At 59.0% G+C, this 19371-nt stretch overlaps 2 protein-coding genes across 10 annotated transcripts in view, besides 4 other annotated features; one reads left to right on the top strand and one right to left on the bottom strand.

The window, feature by feature from the left end:
- RSPH14 (radial spoke head 14 homolog) overlaps positions 1-19371 on the bottom strand; it is a 121315-nt gene that overhangs the window by 37557 nt on the left and 64387 nt on the right. The gene's annotated exons all lie outside the window — the stretch shown is intronic.
- GNAZ (G protein subunit alpha z) overlaps positions 1-19371 on the top strand; it is a 54514-nt gene that overhangs the window by 26453 nt on the left and 8690 nt on the right. The window contains exon 3 of one of the 3 annotated variants that reach the window (XM_017028786.3): positions 1641-17718. The exons of the other annotated variants lie outside the window; for them this stretch is intronic. Within the exon in view, the coding sequence (XP_016884275.1) occupies positions 1641-1841 (201 nt within the window). The 3' untranslated portion in view covers positions 1842-17718. Of the gene's footprint in view, positions 1-1640; positions 17719-19371 lie in introns of those variants that run through there. 3 annotated transcript variants of the gene reach the window in all.
- Positions 4424-5323: an enhancer, noted in NCBI's record as "H3K4me1 hESC enhancer chr22:23443582-23444481 (GRCh37/hg19 assembly coordinates)". NCBI's record gives its function as "activates a minimal SCP1, AML or CMV promoter by ChIP-STARR-seq in naive H9 embryonic stem cells {active_cell/tissue: H9 hESC(naive)}" and the evidence as "EXISTENCE:reporter gene assay evidence [ECO:0000049][PMID:30033119]".
- Positions 5324-6222: an enhancer, noted in NCBI's record as "H3K4me1 hESC enhancer chr22:23444482-23445380 (GRCh37/hg19 assembly coordinates)". NCBI's record gives its function as "activates a minimal SCP1, AML or CMV promoter by ChIP-STARR-seq in naive H9 embryonic stem cells {active_cell/tissue: H9 hESC(naive)}" and the evidence as "EXISTENCE:reporter gene assay evidence [ECO:0000049][PMID:30033119]".
- Positions 10029-10893: an enhancer, noted in NCBI's record as "H3K4me1 hESC enhancer chr22:23449187-23450051 (GRCh37/hg19 assembly coordinates)". NCBI's record gives its function as "activates a minimal SCP1, AML or CMV promoter by ChIP-STARR-seq in naive H9 embryonic stem cells {active_cell/tissue: H9 hESC(naive)}" and the evidence as "EXISTENCE:reporter gene assay evidence [ECO:0000049][PMID:30033119]".
- Positions 15813-16716: an enhancer, noted in NCBI's record as "H3K4me1 hESC enhancer chr22:23454971-23455874 (GRCh37/hg19 assembly coordinates)". NCBI's record gives its function as "activates a minimal SCP1, AML or CMV promoter by ChIP-STARR-seq in naive H9 embryonic stem cells {active_cell/tissue: H9 hESC(naive)}" and the evidence as "EXISTENCE:reporter gene assay evidence [ECO:0000049][PMID:30033119]".

The raw sequence follows: 19371 nt of genomic DNA on the forward strand, positions 1-19371 counted from the left end.
AGAGGGTGGGGAGCCGGGTGAAGCAGCAGGGCAGTGTGCTGAGGCCCAGCCAGGACAGAAGGTCTAGCACACGAAGGGGGCCACAGCCAGGAGTGGCAGCGGTGGAGGCCGTGGCAGGCAAGGGAGGGGCTGTCTTGCCCAGCAGGATTCCCTGAGCACAGATTTCAAGTCTGCCCTTAAGAGAGAGGCCTTTGACCCTGGGGATGGGGGAGTGGGGGCAAACAAGGAGTCACGAAGTTGTGGGTACCCTGGGGCTAGGGGAGGGTGATGCTGGGAGACAAGGGCTCAGCCTCTCCACTTGGGAGCACTGGCCTCCGAGGTCACTCCTTGCTTCACCCAGTCCTAAGGCAAGCTTTATTCTTTAGGTTCAGCGGAGAGCAACAATGGTTCTAGCTTTGGACCTGTGCCCCAGCCAGGGAACCTGGACAGCTCTAGGCAGTGGCCATGGTGCTAGGAGCCTGAGTGTTCTGAGAGAGAGGATCTTTGGCTTTCCTCAGGCAGCTGGGGAGGCGGGCTTGCCTCCCTCCCCTCCTCGCATCAGGGGTCTCCCTGGAACTGTGCCTAGGTGTTGATGGTGTGCCTGGGGGAAACGAATGACGGACGGGCAGGCAGGTGTGTACGCAGGCGGCTGCGTCCACCCTGTTCCCAGTGTGTATCTGTGTGCTCTCCAGGGTTCTGGCCCCTTACCCTGTGGTTGCCACAAGTTCAGCCCCATGTGTGGTTCTGGGCAGAGGGGACATCTCAGCAGATGAGTGAGGTCAGGCTCCCTTGATGAGGCATGGCCGTGGGCAGAGCGCTTGGGGCTGAGAAGCTGCAAGGCAAAGTGAGGTGCTCAGGCCAGACCCTTGGGACAGTGCCATGGTGGGTCTGCCAGTCACACGGGCTTGCGCCACTGGCCTCACCCATCACCACAGTGGCAGGCGTGGCAAATTCCCCGGGCACCAGGCCTGGCTCCCAGTTGCATCCTTTGACAGGCCGTGCCCACAGGTGTGCTGGACACAGGAGGCAGGATACCTGGGTCCTGAGTCAGTCCAGTTTTTCATGGAGGGCTTTGGCTGTCATGTTTGCTTTCTGAACTTGTCAGTGAGGAGATGACCCAGGTGTCTTCACAGATGGGCCCAAGGCTAGGCCTTTGCCTGCCTGCAGCCCTCTTGGCTCTTACTGGCCTGTGCCTGCCACCTTGCTGCCTCTCTCTCCTCTCCTTCTGCTCTAGCCGTGGTCAGCTTGTTTTGCTCCAGCAGTACTGCTCTGTCCAGCCTTAAGCTTGTAATGATCCTGATCCCTGCCTCTCGTACCCCTGCCCTTATCCTCCAGGTCTCATCCCAAGTGGCGCCTCCTGGGAGGCCTTTTCTGACCTAGCCCGGCACCTGCTTACTCCTCCATCTAGTGATGTGTGAGTGAGCTCCTCGGGGCAGGCCCTAGATGGGCTGGGTGGCCCCTGTGGGGCCTCACATCTCTAGCTTTCCCTCTCCCAGGCCTGTCCCTGGGGAGAGCCATGGTGGGCAGCCATGGGCAGGGACAGCAGCCACTGGCCTGGTCTCAGGGATCCCTGTGAGGTTCCAGGCATTCAAGGCACTTTCTAAAGGGAGGGGCTGGCAGCCAGGCTGGCACACCCACCACCATCACCCTGGTTTCTGCAGGCCTGGGGAAGTGGTTGTTCACCAGAAAAGGAAATTCTTGATGAGAAACCCAAGCGAGGCTGGAAATTCACTGGATTCCAAATGATTCTGACCTTTCATGCTCTACCAGTAATATCTGGAGATGGAAAACAAACAGGCTGCAGAGGAAAGACAATCCCCTCCCGCGATTCCTCCCGCAGGCTGGGCTGGCCCCGGAGGTGAGCTGGCCCCCAGAGTGGTGCCGGCAGTGAGGACAGCCCGTCTCCAGCCGGGCCAGGGCCAGAGCCAGTGCTGGCACGGGCTGGCACAGGGCTGCCACTCTGCTCTCTCCTTTTGGAACGTGCTGAACTGTCCTCCCTGGGCCCTGTCAAAGGCAAGGCAGCCAAGAACAGGCCATGCTCGTTTTCACAAAAGCCGAATGAACCTTGGGGCCCAGTGCCAGGGCTCTGGACACGGCTCCTCCATAGCCCTCCTTCCGTGCTCAGCTTCCAAGGCCTCATCTTCCCTGATGCTGGCAGTGCCTCCCCACCCCCACGCCTGGCGAAGGAGCCACAGCCCCCCGGCCCACCCGCTGGCTTCTGCGTCAGCACGTTGCCAAGGAGAACGTCAGTGTCTCTGGGCTCCCGGGTGTGAGGGCTGCAGTGAGTGCAGGGCAGCACCTCAGAGCAGGGAAGGCAGATTTCCGGGTGTCTGTGGAGCATGGCAGCGAGCCACATGGGGAGCCACGCCCCTCCATGGCCACGGTTCCCACCCTCGTCCGAAGGAATTGGCAGTCCCTTGCCCTGACTAGGGCCAAGTCCTGCAGGTGTGTCAGGCACCCCAGTGCCCCCAAGCCCAACACCCAGCTGGGGCTTCCTCAGGCAGCACAGGAGGCCTGAACACAGCCCAGCAACACAAGGGGGTTTTTCTGGCGCACCTGTCCCCTGAATGATCCTGTGGGGCAGCAGCGCCTGTTATTTTTGTCACAGATCGAGGCACTGAGGCTCAGGCACACAGCTGGCGCTGGCGGGCCCCCAGCCCTCAAGTCCACAAGGACAGCTCCTGAGAGGCCATGTGTCACAGGACCCACCACGGGCCTCCCACTTAGCCAGAGCCATGGCAGAGGCTCTGCCCCTCGTCTTTAGTACATTCACACAAGGGTCAGTCAGCAAAGACAGTCACTCTGCTGCCCTAGGAGGGAAAGGCAAAGTGGAGAAGCTGGCACCTACCAGCCCACACTGAGGGACAGACACAGGTGGCTGTGACCAGCAGAGCCTGGGTCTTCACTCGGCCCCACTGGAGGCACCTGAGGGGGTAGGTGGGCACTTGTTGCCCAACCTCTGCCCTTGCGGATCAGCTAATGGACTCTGCTGGCCACCAAATGGTGTGGGATCCTTCAGAAGGCAAGATTAAAAGGTCTAGTTGTAAAGCATCAAATGTTCTCATGTGGAAACCCACAGGGAGCTCACTGCCCATTTCCCGACGGAGCTGTCAGCATTCCCAGCCCTGTGGCGGGTCTGTTTTGCACCTGTGATGGACCTGCTGTGCAGGCTCAAGGCTCAGGCTGGGGCCAAGTATGAGGGTGAGCACAACTCTCCCAGCAGCACAGGGAACTGGGGGACAAGGAGGAGGCAGTCACACCAGCCCAGCTACAGCTTCATTTCCACAAAGCCTCTGCTACCAGGGATACCTGCCCTGTCTTTCTAGAGCTGGCAGGCAGCAGTTCCCAGCAGTGTCCCCATTGTGCTTTCATCTAGGACCCACAGTAGTCACTTGGGCCCCACAGGCAGGCTGGGTCACAGCAGGGTTCACCGTGGGAGGCCTGGTGTCTCTGCCACTTATCTGAGAGACAGCTGGTCAACATGTTATCAGTGAGGGTATCCAGGGGACGGGGGACATAAGAACATGCCTTTTGTGGGGCAAGTTCTGCAGGTGGCAAGTGCTTGAGCAGCCAGCCTCCAGGCAGGTGGTCTATGCCTGGCCCTGGATAGTGGTCCCTTGTCCTGGGGCCATTGGCTTCCTGAGGAACCCCTCCCCACTCCAGGGCAGGTCAGCAGCCTCAGCACACCACGAGGGCAGGTCCACACCCACCCGGCACAGCCTGTGCTCTGAGCAGAGGGCCTGGCACACAGTGGGTGCTCTGCAGACTTTGTGGAGCGGGCGGGAGGCGGTAGGCTTGGGAAGAGCTGGAGCTCCAGAGCCCTGGCTTCTGGGTGCAGAGCAGCTGGGACACTCAGCCCTTCCCAAGGAGACCCTATGGGTGCTCGTCCATAACAGGAGTGTATGCAGTACCCTGAGGAGGGGCTGCCCAAGGCCGTCCTGTGAACACAGCGTGTTCCTGCCACCCTAGCGCTGTGGTTTATCATTTAGCCCAAAAAGGGTGCTTGTTTTAGTGCTTTTAAAATGGAGTTTAAACATTTGTGCCATAAAATGGCGTGTTGTGGGTGAAACAAGGTGTTTCCAGTAAGACAGGCTTATACCTATTGATGACAGAGCTGGTTATATTTGCCCAAGGAGGGAATTACAAATGGGCAATAGCCAGACACAGATGATACCCTCTCCCCAGCATACCAGGGCTTAGATTGAGAAGGGACCTTATATATCCTTTAGTGTTCCTAACCAGCCGGCTTTGCAGATGAGGAAACTGAGCCTCAGAGAGGTTCCTTCACATACCGCAGGGCTGAGACTCTGGCTCTCAGGGAGGGTCCTGGCACTGGCCCCTGGGAATTCCAGTGGCCCCCCTCTTCACCATACTGGTCCCACATCCTGTGGGTGCTGGGGTTCTCCAGCAAGGGCCTTGGGGGTATAGACTGGGTTCCACCCTTGGAGCTGCTGTGTAGCCAGCCTTCCCTCAGGAGAGTGGAGGACAGTGACACCTGGGCTTGGGAGAGGTGAGTGGCTGTGAAGGTTGACACTCCCCTCGTCCCCTTGTCTCCTGGCCTAGTCAGTGGCAGGACCACAGGGAGCCCTAGCAGAACATGGCCTCACTCTGCCTCCTGTTCCTGACCTGGTCAAGGGCATAGCTCCAAGCCAGAAGGCCTGCCGCCCTTTTCCCGACACACACAGGTCTCCCAAGCAGTTCCTTCTGATCTTGCAATGTGCCAGGGCCACATGCAGTTTGTCTGCAGCATCCTCAAGTTATCATGACCCTGGAACAGCAGAGCCTCCTGACCAGATCCAGAGGCAGGGCCAGGCTGGCACACTGGGCTCCCAAGGACTGGACAGCCCCCATGGCAGTGCAGCTTGAGAGGCTCCACAGGGGTGGGAGACACAGAGGACCAAGCCCACAGCAGCACCCTGATGGCACCTCGCATGGCAGGCATGGAATTGGGAGCAGGGCTCAGCTGGCCACATGATATCCCCAGCCCGCATCCCTCTCTAAGCTTGGCCTGGCTTCCTCTCTATGGCCTGTTATCCTACCCGAGCACTGGAGCGATGGGGCCAGCCTCAAGAGGGCTGGGCACACACCTATAGCTGGGCCACCCGTGGCCTAGAGGCCCCACCAACACTTGTGAACAGCCCCTGCCATCCCTTCAGCACCGGCTCCCCGCATCCAAGTTCCCTTGCCTCATTGCCCAGGACTCAGCCTTAACTGGGGCTGCGGCCACCTCAGTGGGCCTTCAGCCGCTCTGAGCCTGTGGCCAGTGCTCAGTGAATGATGGGTATCTGCTCGCCTAGGGTCCCAGGCTTTATGCGTGACCCCATGGGATGCTGGCTCAAGCCCAAGATGGGAGGGGGATGAGCAGGGAGGGGTGGAGAAGGCAGCATGTCCTGGCACCTATTTGAGGCCCTTGCTAGCACTTCAGTCCTTGGGTTAGCTCCTTCCTTCCTCTGCTCCCAGGGAGGATGCAGCCACAAGGCCCCTGTCAAAAGCAGCTGCTCCTTTCCTGTCACACTGGGAGCTTCCAAGGGTGGGGCCATTTCTTAGCCCGCCTTGTGCAGTGGCTCCTTGCCCTGGGTAGGTCCTTGGTCAGAGGTCAGCCACAAGGCAAGAGGCGGCAGGGCCCTGGGCTCAAGCCCTGCTGCTTGGGCTGCCCCCACACCTGCTCTGCCTGCAGGGCCTTTTCCTTTGGCCCCCAACTCCTCATCATCATGAACCTGGTGGCTCTGTCGTTCAGTGCATCAGCCACCCCTCCATGATGGTCACCTCCTGCTGTGTCACTAGAGGCCATTCCCAGGGCACAAGCTGTCACTGAACACAGCAGTGCAGCAGCCAGGAGGCCAACCCCATCACTCTGTCTCTTCCACCATGATGACGTTGTCAGGTGCCTTGGCAGAACCTCCATGGGGATGCCCATGGTGTTCCTCAGATCTCTCAGACAAGTGTTCCTGCCACAACAGGAGGTCAGCCAGCGTGGGCTCTGCTGGGGCCTCCTTTATGGGAAGGCAGGAGTCAGTCTCTTGCCCTAGTGCTGGTAAGCCTTGAGGGAGGAGGGAGGAGAGAACAAGAGAGTTCTCTTCGGCACCATGCCAGGCAGGGCTGCTTCCTGCAGAGGAGAGTGCTGAGACCCAGGGCTAGTGGTGGCAGAGCCTCCCTCTCTGCATGCCAGGGCAGTGAGGGGCTAGAGCTGGCTCATACTGGCTCACAAGAGCTAATTTTTCAATTTTCAGGATGTTTGTGAGCTGTTTGACATTATATTTGTGGCTTCAAAGCAGCCAGGTAGGAGTAATCACACCCCAGGAACTGGCAAATACTACAAAACAGTTCTACTCCTCCCCAGCCCCCGCCTCCATGCCAGTTGTTAGACCTTTACCAGTGCACCACAGCCAGTGACTCCCAAGCATGGCGGGGAGAGTCTGCCAGCCAGGCTCAGTCACTGGTGTATGGCAGGATTGATCCGCTACTGCCATCTTACTGAAGAACCCGACAGTGTCCTTGCCTGTCAGTCTCCCACTGTGCTTCCCCAGTGACTCCCAGCTCTGACCCTGTGGCCGCGTGGGTTGCATCTGTTCGTGTTTACCCCGCTGGAGAAAGGGAATTTGCCAGAGCGGCTCTTCACTTGCCTGCCTCCCTCCCGCTCTTCCTCGGCAGATTTAAGAGAATCCTACTCCACAGAGAGCAACCTTGCATTGGCTAACACGAGACCACAAGCTGGGGGCCATCTGATGTTCTCCATCTGAGAACAAGCCCTGTGGCATCCTTGCAGGAAGCAGTCCTTGTTCACCCAGTATGTGTGGGCCCTGGGCCTGACAAACTCAGTCTAGGGACAGAGGCAGTCCTATCCCTTCCTCCCTCAGGTCAGCTGGGGATGGCATCAAGCAGGCCCTGGAGGACCTGTGTAGCCAGGGCTGGCCTCAGGCTGGCTTCCCCAGTGCCTACAAATGCTGGCCGCATGCTCTCTGTGACTGGCCCTGAGCCTGCCCTAGGAAACAGTTTTCTAGGTGCAGAGAAGCCAGGAACAGGTGCCTCCTCTGTCCCAAAGACCAACATTTGCAGGAGAGACGGGGGCCTAGACGTTGGGAGCAGGCCTGCACAGATTGGGATGAACGTGGGGGTGGTGATCTGATCTGGACCTTGCAGAATCCAGTCAAGGCTGTGGGGGAGCAGTGGGGACAGTCAACAAAGGCAGGACTGAGGGGGCTGTCGGGGGCCATGGAGAGCACAGAGCTATGCACAGTGCCCTGCAGCGGGATGACGGAGGACCAGGCGGTGTAAGGTCTAAGCAGGCAGGGCAAGGTCGCAGGCACAGTGTCCAGTCCCCAGTGTGGCCCAGGGTGGGTGTCGCTGCCTGAGCGCCCTGTGATGACGGAGCCAGGGTTCAGCCCCAGGACTGTGTCCCTCCCAGTTTATACACCTCCTGCTCTGCCTCGTGATCAGGCTGGATGCTCACAATGATACCCTGTCTGAACTGTTCCAAGAGCTTCAGGGCAGAGCTGCTTCCCACCCCACATCCCCTCAACCTGCATCGGCTAGGCTTGCCCAGGCCAGTGGGTAATTAATTTCCTGAGCGCATTAGCTCTGCTCAGTACACACACATGAGAACAGCTCTGGGTTTTAAGACACAGATTACTATTGTTTTAAGGGATTTGTATAATCCAGTAACTGAAAAACAATTTTCCACTATCTAGAACAGACTCCAAGGTGGAGGCTAAGAGTGCTGGGGGCCTTGCTGACTTGGGGATCCCTAGTAACCAGTGTAGATGGGGGGATCTGCCACTCAGGGGAGTCCTGTGACTGGCCATGAACAAGACAAGCAGTGAGGACAGGATGCAGCAGCAAGGCTCTGTGCTGACCGGATGCATAGCCCTCTTCACCTGAGGCCCCACTGGCTCAGTCTAGTTTCTGGAGGGATTGGAATGACAGTCAGCTAGGGTGCATGGCCCTGGGCATCTCAGGGGGGACACCCAGTGTTGGCCAGGGCAGAGTGAAAGGTGTTTCTTCTCTCTGCATGTGGCTCCCGTCTGGATAGTGGACAAGCTTAGGCCAGCCCAGGAGCCTGGCTGCAGCTCACCCTAATCCCTGCTTCATCACACCTCGTGGTGGACATGTCCTCAGCTCAGGTACTTTCTCTAATTTCATTAATAATGAAACCAGAGTCGACTGGGGGCCCTGGGCCTTGTATCCTAAGGTTCCCAGCCCAGGCCGGCCACGGCCACAGCCCCACACACCTTTTCCTGGCCTGTGGTGACCAGGGGAGAAGCACAGCAGCATCCTGACCAAGGGGGCCCAGAGCCTCGAAGGCAACTTGGCTCAGCTGGAGGAGTGACTATGGGCAAGGTCCTGCCCCACAGGGCCACCCAGCTCAAGCAGTAACAACCCAAATATGTTTTTTTAAAGGATGAATATTTTTGAAAACCATCTTTTTGGCCATAGGCAGAGGTTCCCCACTGGGATCTCTCCCCACTACCCCCAGTTTCTCATGTCCCTCCCAGGAAAGAGCCTGAGCCTGCTGCAGAGGGGTTCACAAGCCCTTGAGCCTACAGGTGTGGGTCCGAGGCTGCAGTGCCAGCGGCTAGGAGTGCAGAGTGCACCCACCTTGCTGAACAAAGCAAAGGCAAACCAGGCAAGGGTGTCGGCCTTGGGTTCCTGGGGATCCTCTGGAGCTGAAACTAGGAGGGGTTTCTCACACTGTGCTTTCTTCGCATGGTGATGGCGTGCAAGCTCCTGGCCAGGCCTGTGTCTGTGTTGACAGCTTCCAATCTACAACACACCTGTATCATGCTGTTTGTTAATTTCCCTTCAGCGACTGACACTGGCTGGTGGGGAGCAGGGGTGCAGGTTACTTAAAAGCAGCAAGATTTAACACAAAAACAAATAGGAGACAGTTCTCAGCTGAAACAGAAGTGGACTGGGGCTTTGGAAGAGGCCAGTCCTCCCAGTTGGGCAGGAGAGCTTATGGGGTCAAGGTGAGAGCAGGTGGGACCCAGGTGCTGAGGGTGCCCACGGCCTCCCTTTCTGGGTCTGGGTGTGAAGCCAGGGAGCAGGACACAGGAGCTCCAGGCCCTTTCGGAGCAAATGCTCCCACCATCTTGGAATTTTCTGTCCCAGGACTGGGAGTCTTTGAGCATTGTTAAGGCACCACCTCCAGTCACGTGACTCCCGCCACATATCACACTTACCCTGGGGCTCTGCCTCCTCAGCAACTTTGACCAACACCCTTGGGAATACAGAGGCTCCCATTTGGACCTAAGACCCTGCAAGTCAGTGATGGTTGAGATCTGGTGAGAGCAAAAAAGCAAAACAGAGTGACATGAGGGTAAGGGGGGTGGCGCCTTGGGCCTGTGCTGGAGAACAGCAGCCACCCACCTGCAGGGCTGGACAGGGGTGCCAACATCCTGGAGGCTGCACACAGACTTCTGGGAGAGCTCTGCCCAGTGGGTGAAGCCCAGCTGAGGCATGAGAAAGTGCTCTGTGTACAGCACCGTCTCCATCTCACACTGGGCCCTGGCACTGTGGGTGGGGCCCTGGCCTGGCTGTGGCCCAGGGTAGTCATGTGGACTTGTGTCCATCTGGACTGCCCAGGTGAAGACTGGCCCAGCAGCACAGTTCCTGAGCTCCTGCCCCTCCCCTGGCTAGTGAGGAGGTAGGGCAGTTCTGGAAGTACTCTGAAGGCTCAGGCTGTAGGATAACATGTGTGTGCTGGCTGACAACAGAATAGTGGAAATGGAAGGCCCAGAGACGTGAGCGGTTGGCAGAGCCTGGCGCAGGGCATGCTGGTGCACTGCATGCACAACCTCTAAGCCTCCCAGCCCGAAGGGGCTCCCCACCACACAGATGAGGAAACTCGGGTTTCAGGAAAAGTTGTCCCTGTGGCAAAGTGGGGGCCTTCTGACCTGGACATCCCGCTGCTGCCCAGGGGAATGGGCAGGGCTGGGAAGCAGCCACCCTTGCCATTACTACGGGTCACCCCACCCCCTCCACACTGCACACACAGGGAAACCAGGGAGGGCAGACAGGACTGCCCAGGCAAGGTGGCAAAGCCGAACTGCTGCGGAAGGCAGGGAGCAGCACGCTCAGCTGTTTCTGGCAGGTTCAGAGCAAGGGCTTTTCAGGCCATTAGGGCCTGAGCTAGGGCTTTAGCGGCAGCCTGTTATCTTGTTTAAACAGCCCTTGCTGTTTGAGGTGCCAGGCTTAGCTGGTGCTGTTACTATGAGCACTACAGTTGTCACCAGGCATAGTTGCAGGGGGGAGGGGGCCACCGGCAAGCAGAGGCTCTGACTTCTGGACTCGGCTGGAACACACCCCTGCCCTGGCCCCCATCCCAGAGGAGCCCCATCTGTCGCTGGCCTGGGACCTACAGGCCTGAGTACTCTGTAAAATGGGCCCCTCCCAAGCTGCCTGTGCCCTCCTGAGCTGCCTACATGGGCAGCTGAGCAGCCCTGTGCGGGTGGGCAGGAGCGGTGGCCTTTCTTATCCCCAGGGAAAAGTCGAGGGCCTCATGAAAACCCAGGGCCTGAGAGTGTCTGAGGACAGGAGTTGTGGCCACCCCAGGTTGTCAATCCTCCTGTGCCACTCGAGAGTCTCCACTTCAGCCAGGCAAGTCCTGTGAACTGGGGGCCTCTGTCTGCAGGTGGCAGCAGCTGGGGTGTAGGGAGCAGAAGCTGGGGCGGGAGCAGGGGTCCCAAGCACAGTGTTCCAGCAAGAAGCACCGGAACCCACCAAGGGAGCGCAGCAGTGGAGTCGGGTCCTGGGCCTCTGCACACAGAACCCCAGGGGGTTGGCCGCAGGGTGTGAAAATCAAACCCACATTTTCATTCACCAGAATACGGGATCAGATAGTTCCTGATCGTTTTAAAGCCGGAAGAGCACCTGCTTATCAAATGCCTCTTCAGTCTGTTCTGCCAGATTGACCCATTGACCGACGAAGCCACAGTGAGGAAGGACACAGACCAGCTGTCACTGGAGGGCCAGCCCAGGGCAAGGCCTGCTGCGGGGGAGGAAGGCCCAGCCCGAGTCCCTTCAAAGCCTCCTATAGGTGCCCATCACCCACCCCAGCCACACCCTAGGCATCCACAGAAGTGGCGGGTCTGGGTGTGAGGCCTGTGCCCCCCGCCCTGATCCAGCCCATCTGTGGGCCAGGAGCAGGTGCATCTGTGCAGAAGGGTGGGGCCAGGGGCACACAGGTGGGGAGCAGCCAGGCAATCCCAACCCCTGCCCCTGTACACAGCTGCCACACCAAACGCCTGCAGCATGTGCCATCTGGCCTTGCCTGCCATCCACCCCGTGCTGGGCAGAGCAGGGGAGAGCGGTCCCCAAGCAGACAGCACTGCTCATAGGCAGGCCATGGGCAATGAGAACAGGGGCCAATGGTGCTAAAAGCTGTGCAGCAAATTAAAAGGGTTGGGGTTGTGACTAGGGCTTACTTCAAGTGAAGGAGTCTGATAGCTGACCAGCTACACAAACCCAAAAGAGCAGCCCATGCAGGGTAGCACAGCAAAGGCCTCGAGGTGACAGAGACGGAAGCAGGAGTCAGGAGACAGCCGGGAGAGGCCTGGATTACACAGCCTGCCATGGAAGGCACTGGAGGGTTTGCACAGGGGGCAACCCCAGAGCAGAAGCAGGTAGATGGATCCTGAGGAGACATGACCATGGTAGAATGGGAAGGAGATTGTCCAGGAGGTGCCCTCATGGGGCAGAACTCAGAGCCATAGCCCAAAACTGGACCCTGCATGCAATGTCCCAGGGCCCCAGCTTCCTGCCTCATAAGCTGTGTCATGGCCTAGGACCTTTCTTCCCAGGCAGGAGTCAGCTCCACCTGCTCTCTGGCTGGCACAGCCTGGTGCTGGCCACCCCAAGTGTTAGCATCCTCTGCCTGCTGGAGAGGTGGTGTCCCTATTTGGGGACTCAGTACTCTGAAGTCAGGGTTTTGCCATGCTCTTCTCTGTCCTTCGAGGCAGGAGACATGCTGTGCATGCTACAGGAGCTTAGGAATTGTCTGAGGGTGACCAGTGGGGGTCCAGAGGAAAGGTGCTAGGAAGACATGGAGGCTTCCAGGGGAGGCTGGGCCTGAAGCTCAGCTCCATATCCGATGTGTCATCGTGGGAAGAGCAGTGTCTTCATGAGGCCTGGACAGTGCCTGGGTGGGAGATAGCTCCAGCCTCCTTGGAAGACCTATTGACCACGTTTCTCTTGTGACGCACTTCACTGTCACCCAGAATAACTGCTGTCTCACAGCTACCAGGACCCGAGCCTCTGGGGTAAGGTAGAGTTCAAGGAGAACCAAGGCAGCCCAAGTGAGCCTGGCAGCAGAGCCGAGGGCAGCCCCACCAAAGCCACGGAGCCAGCCCTGCTGGCATCCAGAGGCCAGGGTGGGCCTGCCCTCCCATGGCCCCGAGCTCTGCCCCCACCCTTTAGGATTGCACCCTGCCTTGTTAAGGGATCAGCTGCTGCTCCTCTCAGGTCTTTTTGGGAGTCCTGAATCTGAAGTGAGCCTGGGAGAAAGGGAGTCAGACAGGAGAGGGGTGGGTGCTGAGCCAAGTGAGGGTCTCAAGACCAAGGGGACCCCAGAGCATGGGTACCCAGGGCCTACACTTGGGAGGCCTGTGGCTGGGCCAGGAGGATGAACCAGTGTGGAGTTGAGAGCCATGGAGTGGCAGAGAATGGGTGCCAGGAGCTGAGGTGTTCAAGCTGGAACAGAGCCCTCCGTGCAGGCAGGGCCGAGCCTGTCTCCCTCAGCATCTCAGATGCTCACAGAACCACGGGGGCAGCAGGGTTCAGTGTTAAAGGCCAGGCTAGAGGAATGGAAACAGCTGCCCCAGCCCTGGAAGCTGTGGGAGTGGTGGTTGCCCTGCAAGAGAAGGCTCAGAGCATAGGCAGGCCTTCTGCTGGGAGGCAGGACCCAGCAGTTGAGCAGGTACCAGCCCCCCACCTCTCAGTTCCTGAGGCTGGCCGTCAGCACCATGTGCCCTGTGCTGTCCCCGCAGACTGGCTCCAGGGACAGACAGGAGCTCACTGAGTCATTAACCCTCAATCCAATTCTCCAATCTGTCAAGGTAGCATTGAGGTTTGCGGGAGGAAGAGGGAAGCACTAACCAGATTGGACTGTAAGTGACCCTGGTCATCCAGCTCTGTCCCCAGACACCTCCCCATTTCCTGAGGCTAGTAGCAGTGGGAGGATGACCAGGCCTGAGGGGTGGTTCGGGCTGTCTGGTGCTTTCCTTGGGGCAAGGGTAGTGGGCCAGGCAAAGGGGCCTAGGCAAGCCAGGTAACCCCTCTGAGCACCACTTTCCACATCTAGAATGGAAATGTTTTGAGCCTCGTGAGCCCAGGAGCCTCTCACAGTCACTTCTCGGAGGTGAACAGAACTGGAGGGCATCACGGCAGCCCCCACACAAGAGGAAGTCCAGACTGACGAGGCCACAGGGTGACAAGAGCGAGCCACGTTCTGGGGCCCTCCCACCAGGAGGCCCACCCCACCCATGGTGCTCCAGCCAGGAACAGGTCACCAGAGGTCCTCCCCTCTCCCCTGCCCACTGCCCTGTCTCTCAGGGCACAGCAAGGCAGGTCCTTAAAGAGACAGAGGGAGAGCAGGGTACCCTCGCTACCAGAGACCCTCTCCCACCACCTGAGCAGATGGGCAGTAGACAGTGTTTGGCCAACCAGGCTGTGTGCCCCTGTGGGCACCTGCCCCAGCTCAAGGGTCAGCAGCTTCACCTGCCACTGGTCTGCTGTGGTGTGAGACTCTGAGGGTGAGGGTGTCCACCCTGGTTGTCATAGAAACAGCAGTGCGTCTGCAGAGAGTTCATGCCAAGCTCAGCAGAGGGAGGAAGCAGCTGGCCTGGGAGGCAGCTGTTGTCATTGACTCCTGAGAGCTCAGTGTTGGGAAGGACCCAAGGGCCCACCACACTCTGAGGCTGGCGAGCACACGGGGCAACTCAGGCCTCCCTGCCCACCATCTTTCTTTGGGCAGCTGCACCATGTTGTCTGTCCTCTTGTCCACTTGGGGTCAGCGACGATTCCATCTAGGTGCTGGGTGAACCAAGCACAGGGGTGCTGCCTCAGAGCCACTTCGAATGAGGGGGTAGGATAGCACTGGGATTCCAGCAGGCGATCATCATTTGCTGGGGGGCCTGCGCGCCTTCCCTGTGAGCGTGAGCAGGAATGACTCATGCCTCCTCCACCTGCTCTCACACTGAGCCTCTGCCGGGGAGTGGCCTCACTGTCTGCCTGGTTTTTGTCTGTCTGCCCCTTTGTCTCCCAGTCCCATTACCTGTCATGCATCCTAAGCTCCTGAGGACAGAGAAGGTGGAGAGTAGCAGAGCCAGAGAGGCTCTCCTGTGACGTGGCTGGCTCTGTACCGAGCAGGGGGTGCGGCCACAAATCTCCAAGCCCAGGCCAGGGGAGAGAGGCAAGCGCACTGGACTCGGTTCCGCCTAGTGGCAAAGAGGCCCAGAAAAGTCTCAAGTGCTTGGGACAGGGCCCCATCTGCATGTGATGTGTTGGGGCCTCTGGAAACGGAGATGCCAAGGCAGTCTTCTCTGAGGTCAGTGGTGATGCCAGAGAGGTGAGGCTCAGGCCATTGCCAGCTGCACCAGAGACACCAAAGCACTCCAGGGTCCCCCAAGGTCACTTTAGTAGAACCCAGTGACCATCTTGGACAAACAGCTTATTTTACTGAGGCAGGAGCTGCGGCCCAGAGCAGAAGTGACATGCCCAGGGTCTCACTGCAGTTTGGTGGGAGAATTAGGTTTCAGAACACAAGACAGCCAGTACCTCCCAGGCCCCTTCCTCAGGGAGCCAGCAGGGTCGTGGGCAAGCGGCCAGGCTCCACAGGGCAAGCCCCTTTGGACTTAACCCTGTTTGTGACAGCCCTGGTCCCTGACAGTCCTCAGATCCCGGTGGCAGTGGGCAGTGGGCTGTCTGAAACCAAGGTGCTCCTTATTTCCAAACCAGAGGTGTCTGATCACAGAGTGTGTCACTAGGAGCATGTTCTGAGAAGCCAGGGAGCCTGGTGCCCAGGTTCCCATCCTTAGACCAGTCCTCTGTCCCTTGCAGCCTTAGTCTCATCCACAGCAAGACTGGAGCCTTGGGGGTAACCAGGAAAGGACAGGCACTGCCCCTGGCATTCATGCAGGGACCAGGAGGGCCAGAACACAGGCACCCTCAGCCTCCTGTCTTCACCCCGCAGCCCAAAGGAGGGCTGCCTGACCTCCGGGCCTCACTTCTCTCCCAGCACCAAGAAAGAGGTTCCCAGCTGCATTTCTGGTTTCTGAGGGGCCCTTCTGCTTCCCCAGCTGCCACAGCCCCAGGCCCTGCCTGGGGGTCTCTGGAGGAAGCAGAAGAGGCATCCTTCGGCCCCGCCCCAAGCACACCAGGCTCTAGGGCCCAGTGCTCACCAGGCCGTTTGCTCTTTGCCTCCCAAGACCGTGGGAGGTCCAGGGACCTGGTCAGTGGCAATGCCTTCCACCAGGTACATGGTTGAAGAGGTGCGGGGAGCATGCCAGGGTGCAGCCAGGAGGCCAGATGACCACAACCAGGGGTATGACAGCCCTGGACACAGCAGGTCTGTGGCCACGGCAGGAGGGCGAGATGGACACTTAGCAGGAGGCTGGGCTGAGCTCCTGGTGGAGTCAGGGTGGGACTGTGGCAGGGAGACCCCCTTCTCCAGCAAGGACAGGGCCACTTCCTGAGAAATGGAGCATCGGACAAACACCAGCGGGGTGGGAATGGCAAGTGCTCAAGGTAAGCACGATGCAGCTGCGACCTGTAGACTGGCTGCAATGGGGAGCCTGGCCAGGAGAAGCCAGAGACGGACACCAAGGTCAGATCCTGAAGCACAGAAGACCCTCAGTGGGGATAGGGACCTGGCTGCAGGGAGCAAGGTGGCCAGTGTGGACCCATCAGGAAGGCAGGGGCCTGGTCTGGGGACCCCACAGCTCCAGCTGGGCAGAGCTACCCCATGCTGTGCTGTGCCATGGAATACCAGCCAAGAGACCAGGAGCAGGGAGCGTTCTGATAGGAACATCCAGCTTTCAGGTCTGACGTGGCCCATTTTACCAGAAGAAGGGGACCTGCTCTGAGCATAGCAGCCCCCTCTGCCTGGAACCTCACAGGGCTCACCTCCAGGCTAGCACCCTGCCCCTGCGGCTGACCCTGGCCAGGAAGACACATGTTAGACAGCTGGCTGGACTTGGTGCCTGCTGTGGCTGCAACTCCCCTGGGAAGACAGCTGAGTGTTCTGACGTTGGCTAAACTGCATCTTTACAACAGCTGGGGCCCCAGCGCCACCTGGCCCTGTGCCCAGGCAAGGCCCTGCTGGTCCCAGCATCCTTCTCTCCCACAGATCTTACCCCGGCTCCCACCCCAGCACTCTGGCCAGCACCGCCTCCCTGTTTCATAGTCCCATCAACCCCTCACACACTGGCTCCCAGCTGCTGCCACCACCTTGAGCTGTCTCGGATAGCCTCCTGCCCATACCCCTTTGGCCTGAGGGTAGATGTAGGCCAAGAGCTTGCACCTACAAGCTTCCCCAAAAGGGAAGTGAACTCAGGAATTCCTGATGAGGATTCCAGGACTGGCTGGGGAAGCACGGGGTTGCAAGCGAATAAGCTATTTCCTTTGCGACTGATACCATCCTTGGAGTGGATTTCCTCTGGTGCCTTCCCTGTTCCACAGCTGCAGAGGCATCTAGCACAGGGGGCCAACACCACAGGCCCCTCCACTCGGTACACCTGCCAGGACCTCGGCGCATCATCAGATGGTGGGGCCCACTCGCCCTCTCCCCACTAGAGAAGTCTGGGAATGCCTGTGTCCCAGACCCCCTCGGCAGCACTCAGGATGGCCCAGGCAGGTTGCAGAGGCTCCTGCCCACCAGGCCTGTCACACAGAGCTCTGGGAAATGGAGATGGGCAGTCAGTGCCAGCCAAGGGCAGGCACCCGCTACCGATGGAGGCATGTTGGTCACTGTGTCAGCAGTGCCCCATGTCCCTCCAGCCACACCCTGCCCAGCAGACAGGCAGCCCCACCAAGGTGTCCCCAAGCTTCCACCACAAAGGGAGGCCCAGAGGGGTGAGAGGCTTGGCCGGTACTTTGTGAAAGGTGACAGCATGAAGCTCATCTCTGTATGAAACCTCTGCCTCGGCCCCTCAGTCAGGGTGCTGCCCTCAGAGCCTGGTACTCGGTGGCCCTGGTCAGGCCTGGTGGCTCAGCTGCAGGCTGGGTGGCCGCAGGGCTGGCCTGTCCATGGTGAATGGAGCGCATTCATGTCTACAACCCCGCCCCACAGCTCTGCTCTCGGCGTGAAAAAGCTGAATTCACGGTTCGGATGAACACTCCCAGCTTTTCTACAGTGGGCTGACTTGAGCTTCTCAGTCTGTAACAGAACTGAGGACTTGCTCTACAGATGAGGAAACTGAGGCCCAGGGTGGGACAGACCGGCCCCGGCCCCACCCTTCCCAGCAATGCGGCTGCATCCCCATGCCTCTGTGCCTCTGCCAGCCCCTCCTGCAATGCCTTCCCTTCCCCTCAGCCCCCAGAGGTCCAGTCAAAACGTCCTGCTCTTGTATTACCCCTCGCCCCCTGCATTCCTGTGGTGTGTCACCTGTCAGAGTTGTAGCTGGCCAGCACTATCTGCAGCAGTGCCAGCTGCTCACAGTCACTTGTGCCTGGGTGTGGGGACTAAGCTGTCCATGTGTATCCCACATCAGCCCTCAGCCCCCTCACGAGGGAAGTATGCTTACATATTCTGTGTGTGTGTGGTTATTTTTTTGGAGGGGGGACAGGTTCAGAACAGCTGGCAGAGCAGGAGGTTGGGCCTGCATTGGCCACTCCGCAGCTGCCACACCGGCTCCAGCATTCCCTCCTGCCTGTCCTCACCCACCTTGTTGAGAGCAAGGCTGTCTGCTTGCCTCCATCCCTCACACAAGAGCACCTGGAGAGCCTCTGCCCAGGGAGGTGAGGAAAGGGAGAGGGCAGTGGGGACTGCCATGAAGGCATCTCAGAAGCTGGCAGGGCTGGGGGTTCCAGGTCATCTGTGTCCCAGGGATGATGCTGGTTCCAGGAAGAGCTGAAACCTTAATGTCACGTGCATTTTATGTGAGGTTTGAGGCCCCTAGTTGGGCCAGCTGGCCTTGCTCTGTGCTGTGGCCACAGCAAACTGCATGGGGTCCTGTGGAGTAAGGGACCTAGTGGAGAGTGAGTGGACAGGGAGACCAGATGGGTCAGTACAGAGCCTTCCCCAGCCATGTGGCCATATCACACTGGCATCACCCACCTATTCCCCAATACAACACAGTCCGGGGGCCCCTCACCTGGCTGAGGTATGTGACAAGGCTCTGAGCTGATGGTGTACGTTCAGCCTGAGTAGGTGTTTGCATGTGGTTGCCCCCAAACCAGTGTGATTTGGGGCTGCATGGATCCAGAGTAGGGAGGTGACGGTCCCACCATCTCTGGGGTGTGTGCAAGGGTCAGGGTTTGGGAAGGGGTTGGACAAGACCAGTGTCCCTGAGGACTGCCTACCTGCTGGGAGCTGACATGGGAATCTGGGAGTGCGTCTGGCCTCCTGGAGGGGGTCTCGGGTTGCCCAGAGGGGAGCGAGGAGGAGGCCCAGAACATACCCCTTCCTAGAACAGGAAGGTGGGGTGACCCTGCAGGGTGGCCTCCCACACCTCAGTGATGCCTCGGTGACCCCTAAGGCAGAAGATGCGTGAAGCAGGCATGAGGCCCTGAGCACTGCTGGCCACCCCTGCAAATGGAGGGGCCCCACCTGAAGTTGGGGGCCGGGGCTCATGTTTGAGCCATTTTGACTGGGTCTTTTTCAGTTTATTTTCTAAACCTCAGTTTATTTGAAGCACAGTACATGATTGCTCACTTCAGGAAATTCTGTTCAAGTTTTCCTAGCAGAGTTACTCATTCCTTCATCTGTGCAAGGGGAGGGTGGTGGTCATAATCACCACCCTGATCCCCCTACCCCCTGGGCCCTGTGTGAAGATGACAAGGCAGTGCGGTTGGCTGAGGGCCTGGGCCAGGCCAAGCACACCAGGAAGGTGCCGCGCATGTGCCAGATGGGCCCTGAGGCCGCTGGGGTCCCACAGCAAACAACAAAACAGTCAAACAGGTGCCAGCCTCTGTCATGTGCTCACCACGTGCCCAGGACCACGTCTGTGTGTGCGTTTGCCTGGGTAAGCCTTGCTTCGTGAAGCTGCCATGACCTCCGTCTCCTCACTGAGGGGCACAGGGCAACAGGCTGCCAGGTGAGGGGCTGAGGGGCCTTCTGGGGGCCACTGGCCTACTCGAGGCACAGTGAGTTGTGGGAACGAGGAGTAACTTGGAGGTGGAGCTGCGGGTGCAGAGGGAAAAAGACACCTGGGTCATGAAGGGCTGGCCTGTCCGCCT

This window comes from Homo sapiens, chromosome 22 (genome assembly GCF_000001405.40).
Source record: "Homo sapiens chromosome 22, GRCh38.p14 Primary Assembly".
NCBI classification, from domain to species: domain Eukaryota; kingdom Metazoa; phylum Chordata; class Mammalia; order Primates; family Hominidae; genus Homo; species Homo sapiens.